The sequence below is a fragment of the Homo sapiens genome, chromosome 12, assembly GCF_000001405.40.
Source record: "Homo sapiens chromosome 12, GRCh38.p14 Primary Assembly".
Classification (NCBI taxonomy): Eukaryota; Metazoa; Chordata; class Mammalia; order Primates; family Hominidae; genus Homo; species Homo sapiens.
Window position 1 is genome coordinate 89,988,499 of NC_000012.12, and position 20,496 is coordinate 90,008,994.

A 20,496-nucleotide genomic window follows, 5' to 3' on the forward strand; every position below is an offset into this window, starting at 1 on the left:
TTGGATATAATTTAGCCTTTGTAAACAGAATGTGTTTGTGAAAATCGTGAGAGATTACTTGGCGTGTTGGATTTTGCTTTCTGGCAGCTCATGATCCTTATGCTCTACATGAATTACCAGGTTAGAGGTTTAGTTTGGGCTTTAAAAAGCAGATAGCAGATCATGCCTTTTCTCTTTGCAATGACACAGGATTATAGACTGACATCTGAATGTGCCTGAATAAAAGCAACTCGGAATTTGGGAGGATGGTTGGATTATGTTAAAGCTTTCCGAATGCTGCAAGCACCTCTACAGCAGCCAAAGGATTTTCAGGGCCACAGGGACACAGTAATCAGCTCTAATACTTTTCTCTCTGGCTTATGACCTCTGAAGTAGCTTAATAATTAAAGAGGTGCACCATCAGAAAGCTTTACAGACTTACATGGAACTGCTTGTTTTGGCCCAATCCAAATATATAACAGATTCAAGAGAAAATCAAAAGGAGCAACGATGTTAAAAGGTTTTAAGACTAGAGTGTATATGATAATATCCTGGTTGCCTATTTAGAATGCAGGAATTAGACTTTTAAGAGCTATAGATGGATCCATTAGCATGTACTTGTTGGTCAAGACTGTGGCACACCTAGCCCTTCATGGAAAGAAACTCACCCATTTTGAGCCACCCACAAATACTTTCCTTGATTTATTCAGGACTTTTGCCTACGTTTACATGTTTTTCTCTTACAGGCCACACAGCATGTCCTGTGGGACTGGAGAAATATGGAGAATGCAGCACACTTGCTTCCTACTGAAGTAGGTATTTTCTTTCCAGATTTCCTTCAGTTGCAAAGTCTGATTATTTCAGTTTTTTTGGATGAAATAGAAAACGCTCACCTAAAAATATAAGTCAGATTTGTTAAAATCACTTCCAAAGGATACTGATATGTCAGGTAGCATTTGAATACATAATAATTTCTTTAAAATACATTTTCCAAATGGATTTATTATTATAGCCATATTGAAAGTAGTTTTCCCTATTGTGGAGAAAGATACAATAGTCTAGCTTAGCCCAATTCTATTAACAGGTGACTCTTTTAACCAACTCCTCTTGTTTTGATTGCATGCTTATGTGTGCTAAGCTGCCTTTCTTAGATGGCCTCCAAATTATTCCCATGTCTTGGCATTCATGCTCTGTGTAATCTCCTCCCCTCGAGTGTAGACTGGACCTAATAACAATTTGTAATTTGTTAAAAGGCTGGCTTTTAACAAATAGAATATAGCAAAAGTGATGGGATGATCACTTCTGAGATTAGGTTATGAAAGACTGTGACTTCTGTCTATCTTGTACTCTCTGACTATCTCACTCTGATGAAGCCAGCTCCTATGTTGTGAGTTGCACTGTGGAGTTGTCCATGTGGCCAGGATGTGATGGTGAGCAGCCTTTGGTCAACAGCCAAGCAGTCACTGAGGCTCGTAGTTAAACAAGCTTCAAGGAATTGGATCTTGCCAACAACTACTGAGTGGGCTTGGACGTGTATCCTGCCCCAGTTGAATCTTGAGATGACATGGCCCTGACCGATAGTTTGTAGTCTTGTGAGAGACTCTTTTGAGCTGGAAAACCTAGTTAAACCACACCTAGAATTGTAAGTCATAGAAGCTATATAGATGTGTGCTGTTTTAAGTGGCTAAATTTTGGGGTAATTTGGCATACAGCAGCAAATAGCTAATACACCAAGCCATAAACCAATCCTTCCCCCTCATTCCTCCTTTTCTTCCTTCCTTCCACCTCTTGGTCTTTCAGATGTAGGTTAGGCATCTTCTGTGAGCTAGGTACTATGGTTAGGCATTGTGAATGCAGTACTGGGCATGGAAGACTGGCTAAGAAATGTAGTGATGACTGTATTCGCTGGGCTTACATGCTCACGGCGGGTACAAACATTGAACAAATGAGTGACATAAAATAAATATAAAGAGTACTCTGGAAACATGACAGAGGGTCTTGAGCTATTTCTGGGAGAGATTGGTTATCAGTGAAAGCCTTCCCAAACTACGAAGTGTGAGTGGAATTATTTTAATTTGGTTGCCTATTAAGTATGTCAGCTGGGAGAGAATTCTGTCCCTAGAAGGTATCCTGCCATCTAGACAGCTATGTTTCTTACTATAATGTGATACATAGCATTTGAGAATATCCCTAAAAAAGACAAATACATAGGCCATCTGCTGACGCTCAAAAGCTTTTCTTTGTTAAGTAAGCGATTCTGGAGTATATGTCATTTTACCTATCTTGTACTAAATTTGTGTTGAGTGCCGATTTCTCTGTGTTCTTCCTCCCAACCCCCACCTGCGGATGCCATGTCTCTGTAATGCAGGAAGACATTTCTATGATTATTTGTTAAATTACACATGGCTGGGAACCTGAGAGTGTCACAAGAGCAAACATGATTGTTTATTATCCCTGCCTCTCCCCACCCTATTTTTAAGGGGAAAAAATAAACTGTCAGAGGTCAACTATGTAGTAATTGTGAAGGCCACTCCCATCAAAGCATGTAGTTGAGTTATATGAAGATGGCAGTATGTGTGTATTTATTTTCCTGGCATCAAACTCAATCTTTACTGTGCTCTGACCACAATCCTTATTATCTCTCCCAAGAGTCTGAGGTCCTGGAGTTCTACAAAAGCATCAGTGTGAAATAGCACCAAGAGTTAACTTAAACTTGAAATCCCTGAAAAAAGTCATGGTAAAAAAGCTTAGAGCCATGGTACTGGATGGATGCATCCAATGATCACATAGTGAAAGGTGATAAAATGTCACTGAAAAGGGTGATTGAAAAATGAAGAAGGTGAAAGTTTACTCAACTGGGGGACAAAGAACTTTTTTTAATCGAGAAAAAGGACATAAAGTGGTTGGCAGTGTAGAAATTATTCCTGAGAGCAAAGGCTGCGAAATTTCCTAGAGTTAGATATAATAAAAAAGTTGCGGTGCTGCCTCAAAGCAATGTGGGAAGCAAGTGTGCAGTAGACACTACAGCTGGTCCTTAGCAGTCACCTCTAGGTCCTGGCTATGAAAATAAGAAAAAACATAAAAAAGAGAGGACCCTATAATTTCAGATTAGGATAGTCTCATTGGCAGAAGTGTATGCAAAGCTGATGTTTCTGAGAGTAGACAAAAAGGATGCAGAGCAAGAGAGGAAGAACAAAAATCAGGAAGCTATAGGTGCCAACACAGGCAGTCTTTTTCTCTATTTCTGCCTAGAAGCTGATAAGATCTCTACTTAATACTGGCAGGTTTATAGAAAGCCTTGAAATATGAATATAATTATCCGATAACCAACAACATGAAGATAATAAAAATGATGATGTTTTTAGCATACAGAAAATTCTAAACTTGTCTAATAAGCTTCTTGGTGTAATTCATTATATTTGCTTATGGAACTCAGGAAAGAGTAAACAAAAAGTTATGACTATAGGAGGAGGTACTAGATGAAGAAAGCGCACAAAGAAGTTCCGTAATGCAGCATGGTTTCATGATTACTGTGTAATTGTGGTCGCAGTGGTAGATGTATTGTTGGGAATCTTCTCGTTGCAAATAACAGAACACATAACTCAAACTGCTAAGGTAACAAAGGTTGCGTGACTCAGGAAAATATATTGAATAGATAGCTGGGTTCTATCAATGCAGGATGGCTGTCAATTCTTCTGGAGGCTCTAAGTGTTCACACTTAAAGAGTATGTCAATGGAAGAGCAAGGGATCTTCTTTTTAGTGGTCTCCATCTAATTATCTCCTTACTTATTATTGCTCTGCATTGGGTACCAGTCCCATGTCTAACTCAATCACTATGGACATTGGAGTAGGCTCTCTTGTTTAGCTGAAGCCATCCAAAGTCCATTGCCAAAGCAGAGAGAGATCCGTTTCCTCTTGAAGCACATTGACTGAATGAGGAAGCAGCTTATATTTGAAAAAAAAAAAAAAAACTCAGGATGCTATTATTAAACAGAAAAGAAACAGATACAGGGCATCAAAACTCAGCAAAATCATCTGCAATGGGCAATAAGCTCTTTCACATTGGGATAGAAGGTGTCTGCAGTTTTTTCAACTTCTTATAGTAGGTGCAAGTAGAATGAAAGGCATGGCCTCTTAGTTTAGTTTAATAAAGGAAGTAATTGCTTCTCCTGTGGAATAGTCAAAAAGTTTAGTACATGAAGGTGAGGAGGCAGCCTGGGGGCGTTTGTACTGGTATTTAGGAAGGCTCTGATTCCCAAAGAAGGGGAACCACAAATTTTACATGTGACTCAAGACTGTTAGTTCTTTGGGCCTCTTGGGTCAGGTGGCTTCTGACTTTAAACATTTGGCCTTCCTCTGAGATGGGTGGCTGCACATAGCATAGGTGTGGATTATCTGTTAGAAGCCTCTAAATATGCAAAAATTTAAAAAAATTTGCATTTTTACAGCTAATGAATAACCCAGTGGCGCATAAAAGGAACCATAGCATAGGCTATTATTTTTTCTATAATGATTGAGACAGGGCCATAATTAATCAACAGTCATACAAATGCCAAAAACTGGTAAAATTGTTTAAATAGGAGGAAATAAATCCTCCACATCAACCCACAGGTGACCTTCTACAGAGAAAATGGGTTTTATGCCATAAATAAACATAAGTATAATGAACAGGAAGTGGCTCATTGTTAAAAAAAAAGAGAGATCATCTGATTATCTCTTGCTGATTATATAAATGCCAGAGAGTAATTTTAAGTATTCTAAAGATAACTAGAATAATTTACAAATGCCTTTATACAGAGTAGCAAAGGAGCAGTGTGTACATTCAAAAAGCATGGTGACCTTGCCAAAAGACTTTCATAAATTAACTTGAGAGAAAGAGCACAGATTCTGTTATACCATATGGTCATTGGCCAACATGAAGTGTAGCTAATTCTTGATTTTTGAGTAAAAAGATAAAGAATCCTTTATGGGGAACAGATGCAATTAAAATAGAAAAATCTCATTAGAGTGTTAAAACCAGTCTTAAGTCCTCCACCATGAGTTCAGACTCTGGAGTTGTATATTTCTGAGATCAGTCTCAGTTCCAGGACTTCAATATCTTGAGGCTTTGGCAAGTCACTGCATATCTCTAAGCCTTGGTTTATGCATCTATAAAATGGGAAGTAATAGCAACTACCTGACAGACTTGGGGGAGTTAAATAGGAGAATATATGTAAAGCACTGAGTATAATGCCTGTCACACGATAAGTGCTCAAAACCTGTTATCTCTTAAAGAAAGTATTTTCTCCTTTCTAGCTTGTAGGCAAGAAATTGCAGGGGGAATGTCATACTTCAGGGATCAATGTCATAGGTTACCCAGCTTCTCATGACTCATCTTCACTTACTCAGTGAACAGAAATACATATCATCACAGGTGTATTTGACCTGGTTTTGCTCATCAGGATTCCTCAGTGCCCCCAAAGAACCTGACCCATAGTAGATACCTAATGAATATTTGTTGTCTAATCAACTGACTGATGGGTTGTCTGGGAACTGGGCAGCTGCTTGGTCCTGCTGGGTGGTATCAATGACACAGCCTGTCCCCACTCTGGCTGACGAGGGAAATGTGCTGTTTTAACTTGTACATTTTTCTTTATTCTGCCCAGAGTTTTGACCAGACCTGGGTGTTCCTCTCAGTCTTCCCGCTTGAACCAATCCCATCTGTCTCCCTTCCTTACCCATTAACAAACTTGCTTATTATCCTCAACGTGATGTTCCAAATATGGTCTTAGCAAAATTGAGATCAAATATCCTTCTTCAACTATTGCTGGAAAATATTTTGATGGCTACAGAAAAGAATTCCTGACTTTTCATTGCTTTTCCATCTTTCAAACCAGAGATCTCTGCTTGCAGGTGACATTTAACAATTTTCTTTCTTTTCCCAGTTTCTGTAGCAAAAGAAAGAAGCTGCCATTTCTGAGTACTGAAAATGAGGCAGTGCTGTGCTAGGTGCTTTTACATAAATTACACAATTTAGGACTTTTCATAACCTGGGGGATGTAGCAAGTATTAATATTTTTATTTTATAACTCAGAAAACTGTGGCTCAGAGAACCTGAATAAATTGCTCTAGGTCACAAAATAGCAAGAGCCCAAACTAGGATTCAAACAGAGTTCTACAAGGTCCCAAAGTCATGCTATTTTCTACCTGATTCCCTGCCTCTTCTATATTATATGCTTTTGATTATTTTCATCACATACTCTAGTTATCTTAAAGCACAGGTCAAATGGTGCACATTCTTTTATGCCAATGTTTCTAACTTTGTTAAAAATATTTCCCTTTTTTTGAGTGCAGAGATTTAACCTGTATTCTAGAGGTAAAATAAATCTCACAAGACCTTAGGGAGAAATTGTGGCATGAGTGTAAAAGCATGGAATTTGGAATCAGGCAGATGTGATTATGAGCATCTCTGGAAAAGATTTATAGTCATCTTTCCTACCCTTTGTTTATCTGTAAAATGGGGATATTAATACCTAACCAAGAAGGGCTTTTGAGGATGATATGAGTGATACATATAAAGCGTTCAGTGTGAGTCCTCAAACTGTGTGCTCCCTTCAAGAGCCATGGCTCTAATCCAAGTAGCATATGGCAGGTTGAGGCATTTTTCAACTTCACATGATCCTCATGTCTCAACTCAAAGAAAAAAGGAAGTAGGCATGGTAGGGCATGAAGAGAGGAGAAAAAAAATATTCATTCCCAAGTTTGGGTTCTGGTGCCTACATTTTTTAGTAGCTTCTTCTGGATTGCAGATGTCTTCAAAAACTTGAACTTTGTAGTTGCAAATCCACTGAGATTTAATACAAAAGTGGAAACAAATGTCTATAAACATTCCAGCCACCTATGAGATCAACTAGTTTACCCAATTCTAGTTTTCTTCATCTGCCAGCTCACTTCATACTGAATGTAAGCTATAAAAATTGTATAGAAATCGTCTTATGTGTTTGACCTTTAACATCACAAATGCCAGTAAAAAAATTCTCCTTTTTTCCATTCCATAAAAAAAAGCAAAATGATTCTAGACCTCTCATTAAGAACCTTGAGAACTGATTTTGAACAAAGATAAAGAAAACAATCTTCTTTATTTAGCATTTGTCTATAGCAAGATGTGAGAGAGAGAAGAGCGAACACATACATTCTTGTTTTTAACAGTTTCTCTGCTTGTCACATGAGTTCCTTTCTCTCAGCCGTGTATAGGTTACAAAGTTGGAGGCAAAATGGGTAAACAACAAACATGTTTTTACTACAAAAAATGCTCTTTCTCCTATCTAACTTAGGAAAAAGAGAAAACTCTTAGCAGGTGATACTCACAGAGACTCAATAACTGTAGTTTGAGGTTTTAAGAAGGAGCTTACACTTTTTGTACAGATAAATCTGATTTTCTGGAATGTTCCTCTTTCTCAGCCACACATCCTGGCTAGGAAAACTCCTACTCAGATTTTAAAATACGGCTGAAGTGTCACCTCCTCTTCCCTGGACCATGCCCCAGATCAACTTCCAGGAGAGAAAGTTGGGTCCACACCCTCCCACAGCACCATGTGTGCCTCTGATGCAGCTCCTGTCACACTCTCTGCCAGAGGTTTGTTTATGTGAGTGTCACTACCATGGTATGATGAGCCCTTTGAAAGCAGGCATTCTATTCAGTCCTGTGTTCCCAGCCAGTAGCCCAAGGATTGGGATATAGTGGTTTAATATATTTCACTGACCAAGGAATTGAAATGTATTTGTTGTTTTAGGAATTGGGCATTTCAGTTATTTGCTTGTGATTCTGCTATTTGAGCAGGGCTTGATGGGGAAGCCCTTCCATTCTATGTGATTTGGCTGGGGCAGCTCTGATGGGGCTGGAAGATCCAACGTGGCCTCAGCTGGTATCGACAAAAAGTCTGGGGTTTAGGTGGTCCTCTTACCCTCAAATCCTCAGGGGCCTCTCTGCATGTAGTCTTTTTTGCTAGTAAAATGACTGACTTCTTATGAGGTAACTCAGGATCCAAGAGGGTGAAAGTGAACACTGATAGGCCTCTTAAAGCAAGAACTGCCACTTTTCTCCCATTCTGTTGTTCAGACAAGTCACACGTGGTTAATCCAGATTCACGGGGAGGGGGAAATGGACTGGACGGCAATGGAAGCAGTTGTTGGTGGCCATCTTCGCAGACATTCTATGCTTGCTACCTCAGATCTAAGAGCTTTGCTGAGGACGAGGGCCTACTCTCTTGCCCTAAATTATTTTCCATATATAAAATCTTCATGTAGAAGATTTTAGAAATATTATTTTTCATTAGTTATTTTGAGTATGTGTATGTATTTGTGTGTGTCAGGGGGTATTATTGTGGTTATTTGACTTTTTTCTGAAAATCTCTTGTGACAACATTTCTAGGTTAATTGCTTTTGAAAAGAAGAAATAATAACTGCCTTTTATGATGATTTCTTTACATATGTATCCTTGGGCTTTTGAGAACAGTCAAGTTGTGAGAAGTCATATGAAATAAAGTATTCTTTAAATTGGTATTCAAAGAGAAGGTTCTTTTTAATAGTAGATAAAGGGGAGCATCTATGGTATTAATTATAGGTATTCTCCCCTATATTTTATTTTTGCCATTATATGCAATGATTTCCCCCCACCAAAGTAATCATTATATCCTTTTCTTTTAAAGAAAAGCTGTTTTGTAATTTCTTATTTTTTTAAATGAAATAGTACATAACATTAAGATAAGAGAAAACAATTACATAATTACTGCACTGCACTGTCTACTTAAGCTATTTGTTCTCCAAAGCCTTTTAATAACATAATTTCTTTAAAAGTAGAGGAGGCTACAGGATTCATAGAATGTTAGAGTTGGAGAAAGAGGTCCCTATCATCATCTTGTCCAACACCTTCGTTCTGTAGACAAGAGATGGCTCTGGAAGTTACATAATGCAATATATTAAAATTCAGAAAAAACTATTACTTAGAGAAGGTGTTAAGCTGAAAAGTCACAGAAATCCATCTTTGAAATGTTATTTAAGTCCATATATTACCAGTACTTCTGGAAAAAAATTTGAAGGAGGTATATATTAAGACAATTAAATACGCAGTGGCTAACTGAATACCTTTAGCAAGAGAGTCTAAAGTTCTGGCTGCCTTTAGTTCTAAATAATAGCTACATAAGGAGTCATTGTTTCAGGTACAAATTATATTTGGAAACGTTCCCAATTTGTAAAAGTCATTCCATAGTTTAAACTCAGAATGCCATTTATTGACTTCAAATATGCTGCTCACATAGATAGCAACATGTATGCATGTGTAACTGGCCAATTATTAGCTCCATGCAGACTTTACTTAGTCCTTCATTCATTCACTCGACAAATGCTATTAAGCCCCATTGATGTTGTCAGGTAACATTTAGCGGTGAACAACATAGACACTCCCTTTGCTTGTAATGAGAATTTATATTCTAATGAAAGGCTTAGTATTTTCTTACTTTGTAATAAAACTAGAGTGAATGCTTAACTAAATATTTAATAATGTACACACCTCTGAGTGTAGATTCTGTGGAATGGGAAAATACCTCTTAGGCACTATGATTTTGTCTTATTCTTTTCTTGTCAAATTGTAGCACTTCCCACTTACTAGGACACATTTTTTTTTAAACTAAATTAACACCATAACAATTTTTGTTGGACTAATTATAAACATTGTCATTATCATCATTCCAGCTGAGTTAACCCTTATATGAGGATGGTATAGAGAATATTAGCATAATACCTAAAAGCTAACTTGCCAATTCGTCATGAGCATCCCTTCTTTCTTTTAAATAATTGGTTCATTCTTCAGAGTTCTCTTAGCATTTTACATGTACTTTTAATGCAACATTAATTAATTCAGTGATACAGCTTGTTGTCTGTGTATCTGTATCCATTACTAGGTAGTGAATTCCCTGAAAGTAGGACTATGCCTTATTCATTCCTTCTTCTCCATAGCACCAGCTTAATTCATTCAGCAAAAGTTTATGCAATTAATATTTTCTTTAGAATTTTATTTCACCAAATGCCTTGTGAGACAGGTAGTGTACATGTTATTTGTATTTTATAGACAAGAACTTGAAGTCACTAGAGGTTATTATACACTCACAGCCATAGTGGTTATTATCAGGATTGGACAAAGAACTTGAATTTGCATTCCATGACTCCAAGTCCAGTGGTCTTTCTTCTGAAACTACATTACCTCTGTGCGTATATTTACATTTTTTATTGTCATAGGCTCATGGGTGTGTTCATCACCACTCTCCTTACATATTTCCATTTCTCTTTGCTTCTATCTCTCCTGCTTGCTTAACCCTGAATTGACCTTTTAACCTTTATCCCGATTCAATAGCCATAGCAGAAGGGAGGCCAGAACAATTAAATGATTATATTACTCTTCACTAAGAAATTAGCCACCACTTTGTCTTTGGCTTGTATACTTTTGATAAGTTTTAAGTTTAATAGAGACTTATCTAAAAGAGTTCCAGGGTTAAGAGTAGTTATAGGGAGATTAATCAGCAGACAATTATAAGCTAGTAACAAATAAACACATACAAGTTGTGATATGCTAGATTGAGTTACATTTAAAAAGTTTAGAAAGAAAATAGAGAAGGAAGGGATTGAGAAAAAACAGAGCAGGGTGAATTGATGAGATTTTAGCTTTCATGAACTAAGATCAAAAGTGTGGTCCACTGGAGGTTCTGGTTATCAAAGCAGGGTGGTATCCAAATACTTGACTTACTGGCTCAGAAACTCTTAGGGTGGGGCCCAGGAATCTTCATTATAACAGTGCCTTCAGGTGATTCTTATATACAGTATACTATAGCAAGAGATTAATAGACAAAAGCAATGTTTTAAAATTAAATATAAATAAATTGCATATAAAGCACCTGGAGACCTTGCTAACATACAGATTCTGATTCAGTAGGCCTGAAGTGGGGCCTGAGAGCATGTTTCTAACAAGTTCCCAAATAATGCCAATGCTGCTGGTCTGTGAACCACACTTTTGAGAGTAGCAAGTCACTAGATACTGAGGTAGCTGCTGTGATCTGTGTGCTATGGAAGGTGAGATGGAAAAAGTGGATTTTGAGAAGCTTCACTGATTTATGACAGAATTCTTTGTCAGCTCATCAGGAAACTTTGCAAGATACTTCAAATTGCTTTTCAATGTTTTTGCGGGTGGGACTCTAGTTTTGACTAGCCAAGAGGCAGCTTGATTTTATGCAGTCTCAGTAGTAAAATTCTGAGTGGGAGACCAAGAAATACTCCACCAACATATTTATGATGGAGCCTCCTGCCCTGCCATTTCTAGTTTCAAACAGTTCAGAAAAAAAATGCAAATTTCTTTTCTAGTTTCAAATAGTTTGGAAAAAATGTAAATTCTTTGTGTAGCACATCATCTGGGCTAGTTTCTTAATGCTCATCTGTTTCATTCCTGCCAATTAAGAGCAACAGCTGTCTTGCAGGGATGGTGGTCGTTAGGAAGTGACACAGCTGTGGGATTTAGATGAGATAACGGTTGTACAGCCAAGATAAGGCATCATTGGAATGCAAACTGCCATAAGCCTGATTTATAGCACACATCCAAGGGGAAGAAACTTAAACCAAAATCAACTAAAATAACAACTCACCCAATAGGGAAAACAAAACAAAATATCAACCAGAGATGTTTAGCCCCAAAGTCAAGTTTTCTCAGACTATTTTAAAAACAAGATTTGGACTAAAAATTGACTTAGAGGGATTCCAATTACCTCAGTTGTCTACAATGCCCAGACTTATGAATTTGTATCTAAGAACTAAATAGTTCTGCAAACTCAGTCCCCTTGTGGCTCAATACTATTTGAGATGTCCAAATCTCTAGGCCTTATTCTGTTACAGAGGGTAGACTTGCTGAAAACAAAAACAATGGTCAGTGACAAGTATTTGGAAAGTGGTATTATCATAGTAAAAATGTCATTTTACCAATATAACAACCCAACAACCCAATGGACTCTGCATAAATAATTATTTTAGAGCATTATATACTTACATGTTTCAAAAAGAATGTTATAGTCATAATGTAATTAATCATTACAAATAAATTCTACCACCTAAAGTTTCTTGTGTACATTCCATGATTTTTAAGACTTCTACATTTTTCTCAATGCTATTTCTCTTGGAATACATATTATTCTCATCCCTGGACACCTAAATCCTACTCATCTTTCATAAACCATGTGAAATACAAATTATCTGTGAAGCTTTTTGGGATCCTCTCAACTGAAATCAATAGATTCTTACCTTGAGCTCCCATCACAATTTAGCTGTATATTTCTTATGCGACCTAAATATTTTTCCTTGGAATTACAGCCACATAAACACATGCTTTATTTTCTTTACTAATCCTCAAATCCATTGAAATCAAGATTCATGTCTGACTACTCACCATGGTATTCTTATAACCTATTTCGTTCTATTCAGTAAGTTCTGAATTAAAAAAAAGTTGGTTGAACAAATTCCCCTGGAAGTTCTAAGAGGAGAGCACCCACTTATTATTTCAATTTTGATTTTTAAAAAAGGGACTGGACTTTAAGAAAGATACGTAAGACAGATCATAGAGGCTGGGAAATCTTACTGTCAGGAAGATGAGAAATATTATTAATCCTGAAATATTCTAGTATATTTCCTTAGCAGGAATGGAAGTCATCTTGCTAAAATTCATTTGCAGTCATTCTCTACATTTAACATGGGCATAATATACAATATACGATATGCTAAAGGACATAAGAGATTGCTATATAATTTAAGAGGGGAAAAAAGAAAAGAATACTTTCAGTAGTGATGACTAAAAAAAGGTTTCATTATTTATTTAATCAGTACCTGTATTTCAGGTCCTTGACCTCATGGAGTTTATGGTCTGATTGAAGAGATATGTATTAATCAATACAATCATACAAATAACTGTAAAAATCAGATCTAAGAGTTAGTAAGTTAATTGATACATAGTATAGTGTTTGTTATATTACCTAACACTTACTAAACAATTGTTTAATAATCAGCTATTCTAATAATTAGCTTTTAATCTGTAAGATATGGGGTGCTACCAAAAGTGAGCAAGAAAATGAAAATGACCAGAGATATGTTTTCTGATGCTTAGTCCAAGATTAATTTGTCAGAGGAGCTGAAGTGGAAAGTGACAAGAATTGGGTGATCTGTTGTCTCTCAAATCCATATTATGTATATCATAATTTAGGGCATCTTCAGTGAGAAGATAGAGATGGAAACATACATTAGAAATGTTATGGAGGTAGAATTGTTGTAGAATAACTAATTTGAAGGAAGTGAAAAGATCACAGAGACTTCTAGCATGGGAGACCTTGGAGAAGGTGACGATATTGAAACAATCTCGGGACACAGCGTTAAGAGCAGGTTCATGAGGGGAATAAGGAATTATCTTTGAACTCATTGAGGTTGAGATGTTGAGATTCCCAGGTGGAGAGTCTCAAAGAGTGATTAGAGCTGGAGATTTATATTTGCGAGTCACCTGCACAGATTTATAGTTAAAACTGTTGGGATATATAAAATTAGCTTTGACAGACCATAGAAGAAGGACAAAGACTGAGTCTTGGAAATTCCCAAAATTTGGGGTTGGAAGGGAAAAATAGGAACTGAGAAGGAGAAGGGAAAGCAGAAAGTTGCTGGTGTTGTGGAGCCACAGAAGGACAGGAATTCTAGGGGATAGCAATTTCAAATCCTGGGACTGCCTGAGCAGCAGCTAAGGTCTGTTGGATTTGGCCATAAGGCATCATTGCTAATCATCACAAGGGAAATTTTAGAAAAGCTGTATGGGATACCAAATTATAATACTGAAGAATATTCAGGAACTGAAGGCAGTGAGTATGGACTGCTCTGAAGAGAATTCAGGAGAATTAAAGAAACTTAAGAGCAAAGTAATTAAATAATTTAGGCTGACAAGCTGCAAGTGTGAAGAAAAGTTTTCTTAGAATGTAGGAGATCTAAAGTCGGGCTTGTATTTGAGATATGAAGGTATTATGCATGCTTTAGTTATATTATTTGGCTAGATTAAATATTCTGAAATGGTGAGTTCATGCAGTGAAATTGGAGCAGATGCATCAAAAACTGTATTAGACTTTGTGCTGTTCTGATTTGTTCTAGAAAGATAACATACCTGCATATCTGTTATTCAGACTGACTGTGGAATGGCAGACTAGGCCCTCTAGTTGCAGTCCATTCTACCTGCTAGATATGGTAAACCCTGACCAGACAGAAAACACTCATTCTGTGATCCTGCTAGTGGTACTGAAAAGGATAACAAAGAATTTATAACATTGCATTGTTATTCTAGGTTGGCAGTCTGATCATATCACTATAAATGGGCCCACAGTGATGTACATTTCCAAATTTGGTTTAATGACTTGAGAATTTTTCTATCTATGGTTGGAGCTGGAGGCAATATTCTCCAAGGCTGGTAGAATGTGTATTATATATGAATGAATGCATGTGTGCAGTTATATGTGTATACATATACATATAATTACTACTAGTACCAAGTGATTACTAGGTTGCAGGCATCATGAAAGTTAGATTAAAAATATCATCTGTAATTATGATCACAGCCTTACAAAGTAGAAAATATTATCCTGTTTTTATAAGTGAAGAAACTGGAATTGTAGATTTATATTATCCAAGGTCACACAGCTATGAGGGATTGCAGATGGGCTCTAAACCCAGCTCTGCCTTGCACTTTCTTTCTCCTTTTGGAATATATAAACAGAGGACAAACATAGCAGTGGTGTATCTTTTATAAGGAATAAGAGGAAGCTACTGCTAGAAATTGTGTTCTGAATTGCATTGAATTCATGAGGTGACCTAGTTTTTCTTCACCTCTTATGGGATTTTTTGCAGAAAGTTGAAGTTGGACCTAGTTTTCCTTCACCTTTTATGGGACTTGTTGCAGAAAGTTGGAGTTGGAAGAGAACTAAAGGAACTTTATTTCTGGAAACTGAGGCTAGAAATTTGCTCAGCATCACCTAGATTGTTCGCTGCTGAGCCACAATCACAACTGAAGCTTTTGTGTCTAAGCCTTCAGTCTATCCTAGGCCTACATTAAAAAGTGTGAAGAAAAGAGAGTCTATGGATTTCTCAGTGATTTGCTTTCATCATTTAAAAGGCTTCTTAGAATTCTGGGCAGAATCTTCTTGTAAACCTTGGGTGCCTTGAACTCATGTGGATTTTGTTATGCTAAAAAGTTTTCTCAGTAGAGTTCTGCCCATTATGTTTTTGACTGATATTTCATTTTTATTTTACAAGCTGAAAGATACAAGGGCTCTAAGGTGTACAGTGTAAAAGCAGTTGTTAAAATAAAGAATGATGGCATGTCAAAATGATTCATATGGGCAATTTAATTGGAAATATTGCCATTAACATGAAACATTCCACTTGATATGGGCTTTATGTTCCTATTAAATACGAGAGAGTAAATCTCTATGCATTACATCAGAATCATGCAAAAGATGATCAAGTATTTTTTCTACACAATAATATTTTATTAAAGCAGCACTAGTGGTGATAATCCTTAGGGTAGCTTATGTTTATCCAGAATAAAGTCACAAAGCCTTTCAAAGAAGTTTCAGCTTCTTCCAAACACTGTCATTGGTCTGCTATATAAAGCACTCTTGCTCCTTCCACTGAGGCTAACCTTTAGAAATAGATGCTGCAGAGATAAAATACCACCTGGGATATTTCTCCCTTTAGGCAGGACAGTAATTATAAAAGGCTTGGTACTTTTGTAAGTTTATTTTAAACATTCCTTAAAAAAGTAGGGTTTGTAATTTTCCTTCAGATTACAAGCTGACATTTTGAAAAAGAAAAAAAAAGTTGCGGGGAATGCAGCACTTCTGTGTGGTGGCAGCTGATAATTACCATAGTGTGAGTGGGGCTCGATATAACCCAGGCATTTAAGAAACATGGCTGATTACAGTGCGTTAAGAGTAACTCAATTCGGGAATTTTGCTTTGTTAGGCAAATTGAACTGTCTTGCTTCACCAATCTCATCTCACTTCCTTCTTTTGCTTCCAACGAAGAGCCACCTTTATCTTTTCAACTGCAAGGCTGTTCTCAGGAAGAGCTATGTGTAAAACTTAAAAATAAAATGCAGACAATCTAAAGGGAAAAAGCATGAAACTGATTGTTACCATGAGTATGCCTTTGGAAAATTTCACTCTGCAATAGCATTTTGCATCATTTAAGATGTTTACATGGGTTTTGTTTGTTTGCTTGTTTGTTTCAGATAAAGTAAAAGAATCATTTTGTGGCTAATGTCAAAATTTAAAAAAATCACACTGGCTGGGCTTATATATGTGCATACCTAGGAAACTCAGAGAGAAGAGTTAATCCTAACTTGTAGGAGAAGAAGTGAGAGAAAGATGGTTTCACATGAAAAGAAACTAGAAACATGCTAAGGAATATTTTTCTATTACAGTTATTAAACATACACAATTCACTTTTAAAATAATTATACAGATTAGCAGCCCAGATCTGAATGCAAACATAAAAATAAATGTGTGTATTATACGTGTGTGTGTGAGAGAGAACATTACACAGAGATGAGTATATGAATAACCTAGATATTTCTGAGCACCTGTGGTTTGAAAATTGGTTGAAGATGCACATTCACAGGAATGCAGATTGTAGTAACTGCTCTTTCAACAAAAAACTGTTTCTCAAGCATGGTATTTTATATAATATGTGAGCTAGTATTTGTTTCAAGTAAATACCCAGTTTTAAGCATTCAGCCCAAGAAATGTCCCAAACCTCTCTTTCTGAAAATGGTTGAAAATACTTACAATCAGGAACAGATTCAGGTTTTGTGGAGCCAAAGCCCTCTTAAAGGAAAATAACACAAAACTGTTAAGATTAGATCAACTGCCCTGGAATGAGCCTTGAGGGGCGTGGAAGCTGAACTTCATTTGCTTTGTGGTAAGTGCACCTCTACTTGGGAAATATTCTAGCTTCTACAAGACCAAGATGAAAACCTACCCACATTTGGTGATCCAGTGTTCCTCCAGGGATCACCATGATATTTTTAAAGTTGAGATGGCTTTGCCTTTATTGGTCACTTTCCTCCAACACCAATCATTCATCCTACTGTCTACCTTAATGATTTTCTATTCTCTCTTCTACCTAACTCATACAGATATGACTGTACTTTTTACCTCTGTCACTTCTTCAAGCCTGAATCTCCAATAAATACTTTACATTGTCTTGGGCTAATGTAGCATTAAATTAGTGTTGTGGACTGAAATATGCCCCCCACAAATTCATATAGTGGAGCCCTAAAACCCAGTACCTCAGAATGTGACTGTGTTTAGAGATAAAGCCTTTAAAGAGGTAAATAAATTAAAATGAGACCACCAGGGTAGGCCCTAAGTCAATCAGACTGGTGTCCTTACAAGAAAAGAAAATTTGGATATGCAGAAGAGATCCATGTACACCAAAGGGCCATATGGAGAGGCAGCAAGAAGGCATCTATCTGCAAGCCAAGAACAGAGGAAACCAACCCTGTTAGCACCTTGATATTAGACTTCTAGTCTAAAGAACTGTGAGAAAATACATTTCTGTTGTTTAAGCCACCAAGCCTGTGGTATTTTTATTGTGGCGGCCCTAGCAACCTAATACAGTTACCTAGAATTTATTAAGTAAACTGTCATTAACCAACATCTTCTTCACATCAATATGCTTAATAACAGAGCAGAAACTAACCAAGTGCCCACAAACACATCATATATACTAGTTGAAAGAAGGAACAAATTCTTGCATGCATGCATATGTGGAATTAGAGTAGGGTTTAACAATAATTTGTGAATAAAATACACTCTTCCTTTTATTCTTCCCTTGGACAATGTTAACTATGAGGAGAAACTGTAGTGATGAAATAAAAGTCATATTTCACCGTATCTTACTGATGATCAAATACATACATTTATTGAGTCCTTATACTGTGAAAATTTAAAGAAATAAGAAGTGCCCAAAGTTCCCTAAATGTATCAGGGCATGGAACTCATGGAAGACATACTTTTCCTGCTGAAAGTATTATCTACAAGGCGCAAAATATACTTTTTACATGGTGTTGTACAGTGAGTGGTCTGGCTGTTTACCCCAGGCATCATATGTTGCTGTCTGAAAATGGGAGTATCCTTGGGTGTAAGAACCTATATGGTCAGGTTTTTCTGAAGAAACTCTAGGAAAGCTAGTTCCTTCAGCCCACACAGATTATATGACTAATCTTTCAGAAAGCCAACTTCTTAATTTATAATCAGTTACAAATTATTATCCTGAGTGTAACAATTCAGGAAAACTAATCATGGCCTATGTGGCTGCTTGGTGAAAGCATATTAAGAGCAAAGGGAAAGTGTTGCTCCTAAAGAAATTCTCATCTAGCTAGAAATGCCTTCTGATGAATTGGTCTTCGATTTTCTGGGGATATTACGTTTGGATTGCAAAGACTGTTCATTCATCCATTGTACTATTCACTTCCTTTTAAAGCATTATTTATTGAGCCACTATAATGCGCTAAACATTATGCTAGGCATTAGAAACACAATGATAAATAATACAGACATCGTTTTTGTCTGCATGGGACATATATTTTAATTGTCATAGTTTCGCTAGTGGACTGCATTTACTGTTTCCATGAATTAACAACATTTCTCTTTCCTTTGGTTCAGTAGTACTGCTCCTTATTTTCTGTGGTGCTTCTTTCTATAAATGTTTACCAAAATATTGCATGTGTCTAATAAAACCTTTTTTGGAAGAATGGCTCAAAGTTTTTCCTAACAGCTTAAAGCATTGTGAATTGAAGTCTTTGATGGCACATACTCTAAAAACTTAGGCATCATAACGATACAAATCAAAGTGACAGAAAAATGTACCTGAAAAGTATCTGCAAAATGAACACATTTATTTTATAAGGGTCAATGTACAATCAAATATTGAGATCTATGTCTTCTTTTACCATGTTTAGAATGAGCCTATGGGATAATTTTCTAAATGCAGAAAAATATTCCAATTTCTCTGGACCAATATTTGATCTTATACTTTCTCCTCCTATTCACACCAAATCAAGTGAAATTTGGACTTGCCTGAATTCTATGCACTCATGCCAAAGACACCTATTCTTCTCGTGACTTCCTTGCCTACCTAGCAGCTTACTAAGATGAAATTGTCTAACTTTGATGAGCACAGTCATAGTTCTTGAGGTTCGCACACATGTAATTCACTGGTTTATGTTAGAAGAAAGAAAGGAAGAAAACCTCCAGTTTCAAGCCACCTTGTATTTTCTGGGTTGATTCTATAGATTTTTATCCAAGGAGTGGGCTTGTAAAAGAACTGCCTGAGGTGGAAACATATGAAGGCAAAGAGCTACAGAAGTGGCCCTTTATCTAACAACATCACCTCTCAGAAGCCATGACCCCTGTGAATTTGATAAAAGGAGCTGAATGGCATAATAGCGAAGGGTACAAAAACTAGACATCTGAAGAGACTTTCTTTTTCAAGGATATACCTAACAGACTTTAAAAATATTCCTTTAATGGGGAGTTTAAAGGAAGTTCCTTCCTATTGTGAGGTCCACGGTTCCTTAGGTAGGTCTTCCCTTTGTCACTTTGGGTGACTTCAAATATAATATTGTGACACTGTCTCTAAATTTTAGAGAGGCTTTTCCTTTGCCTTGAAAAGAAATTAGATATTTAGAAAAGACCAATTCTCTGCTTTTAAACACTACATACTTATACTTTCCTATTGGAGGCTGAACTAACATTTAAACATGTTATCATGATGCACATAAATACTGTTGGCAAAGCTTTTATGGCTACCGATGACACTATAAAAATATGCCTTCATTTTAGAACTCTAGAGGATTTGTACATCTGCATAAGCTCCAGAGTTCCCCGCTTTGTGGGGGAAGATCTGATGGGGAAGATGAGATCATTATCTACTTCTATCCTTGTTTAAATTCGTGGGAAGCCTGATTGGAAAGTACTTTTCCTCACTGTAGTTCTGCAGTACCCAGTTTTATTACCCTCATAAATCTATTAGACACATATTTGTCCATATAAAGGAATTTTTAGAACAATCATTGTTTCATCATGTATGTTTGGTGTAATATACCTTTCTCATATATTTATGTGGATAAACATTTTATTTTAGTTCCAAGTCTTTCCATTCTAGTTAAACATAGATTGAAAACATGCATAAATAGAATCATTTCAAAGGTCTTTGGTCTCTCAGTTTTTAAAATTTTACTTCCCCATATGGCCGGAGAGTCCTGGTCCAGGCTGGACCCAGGTGGGGACCTGGTTTCTACGTTTCATGCAGGCCACTTGCTTGCTGTGTAGTGTGACTATGACCAAAACCCTGGACTTCTTGAGACTTCAGTTTCCTTGCCTGTAAAGTGAGAGCTCTTCAAGTTCTTCCAACTGTAC

The 20,496-nt window shown here is 36.8% G+C and overlaps 1 long non-coding RNA gene across 1 annotated transcript in view; it reads left to right on the forward strand.

Moving 5' to 3' along the window:
- The window catches only part of LOC105369890 (uncharacterized), a 192,148-nt gene that overhangs the window by 68,357 nt on the left and 103,295 nt on the right, over positions 1–20,496 (forward strand). Inside the window, exon 7 of the long non-coding RNA XR_001749246.2 lies at positions 726–791. This is a non-coding gene — a long non-coding RNA (uncharacterized LOC105369890). The remainder of the gene's footprint in view (positions 1–725; positions 792–20,496) is intronic.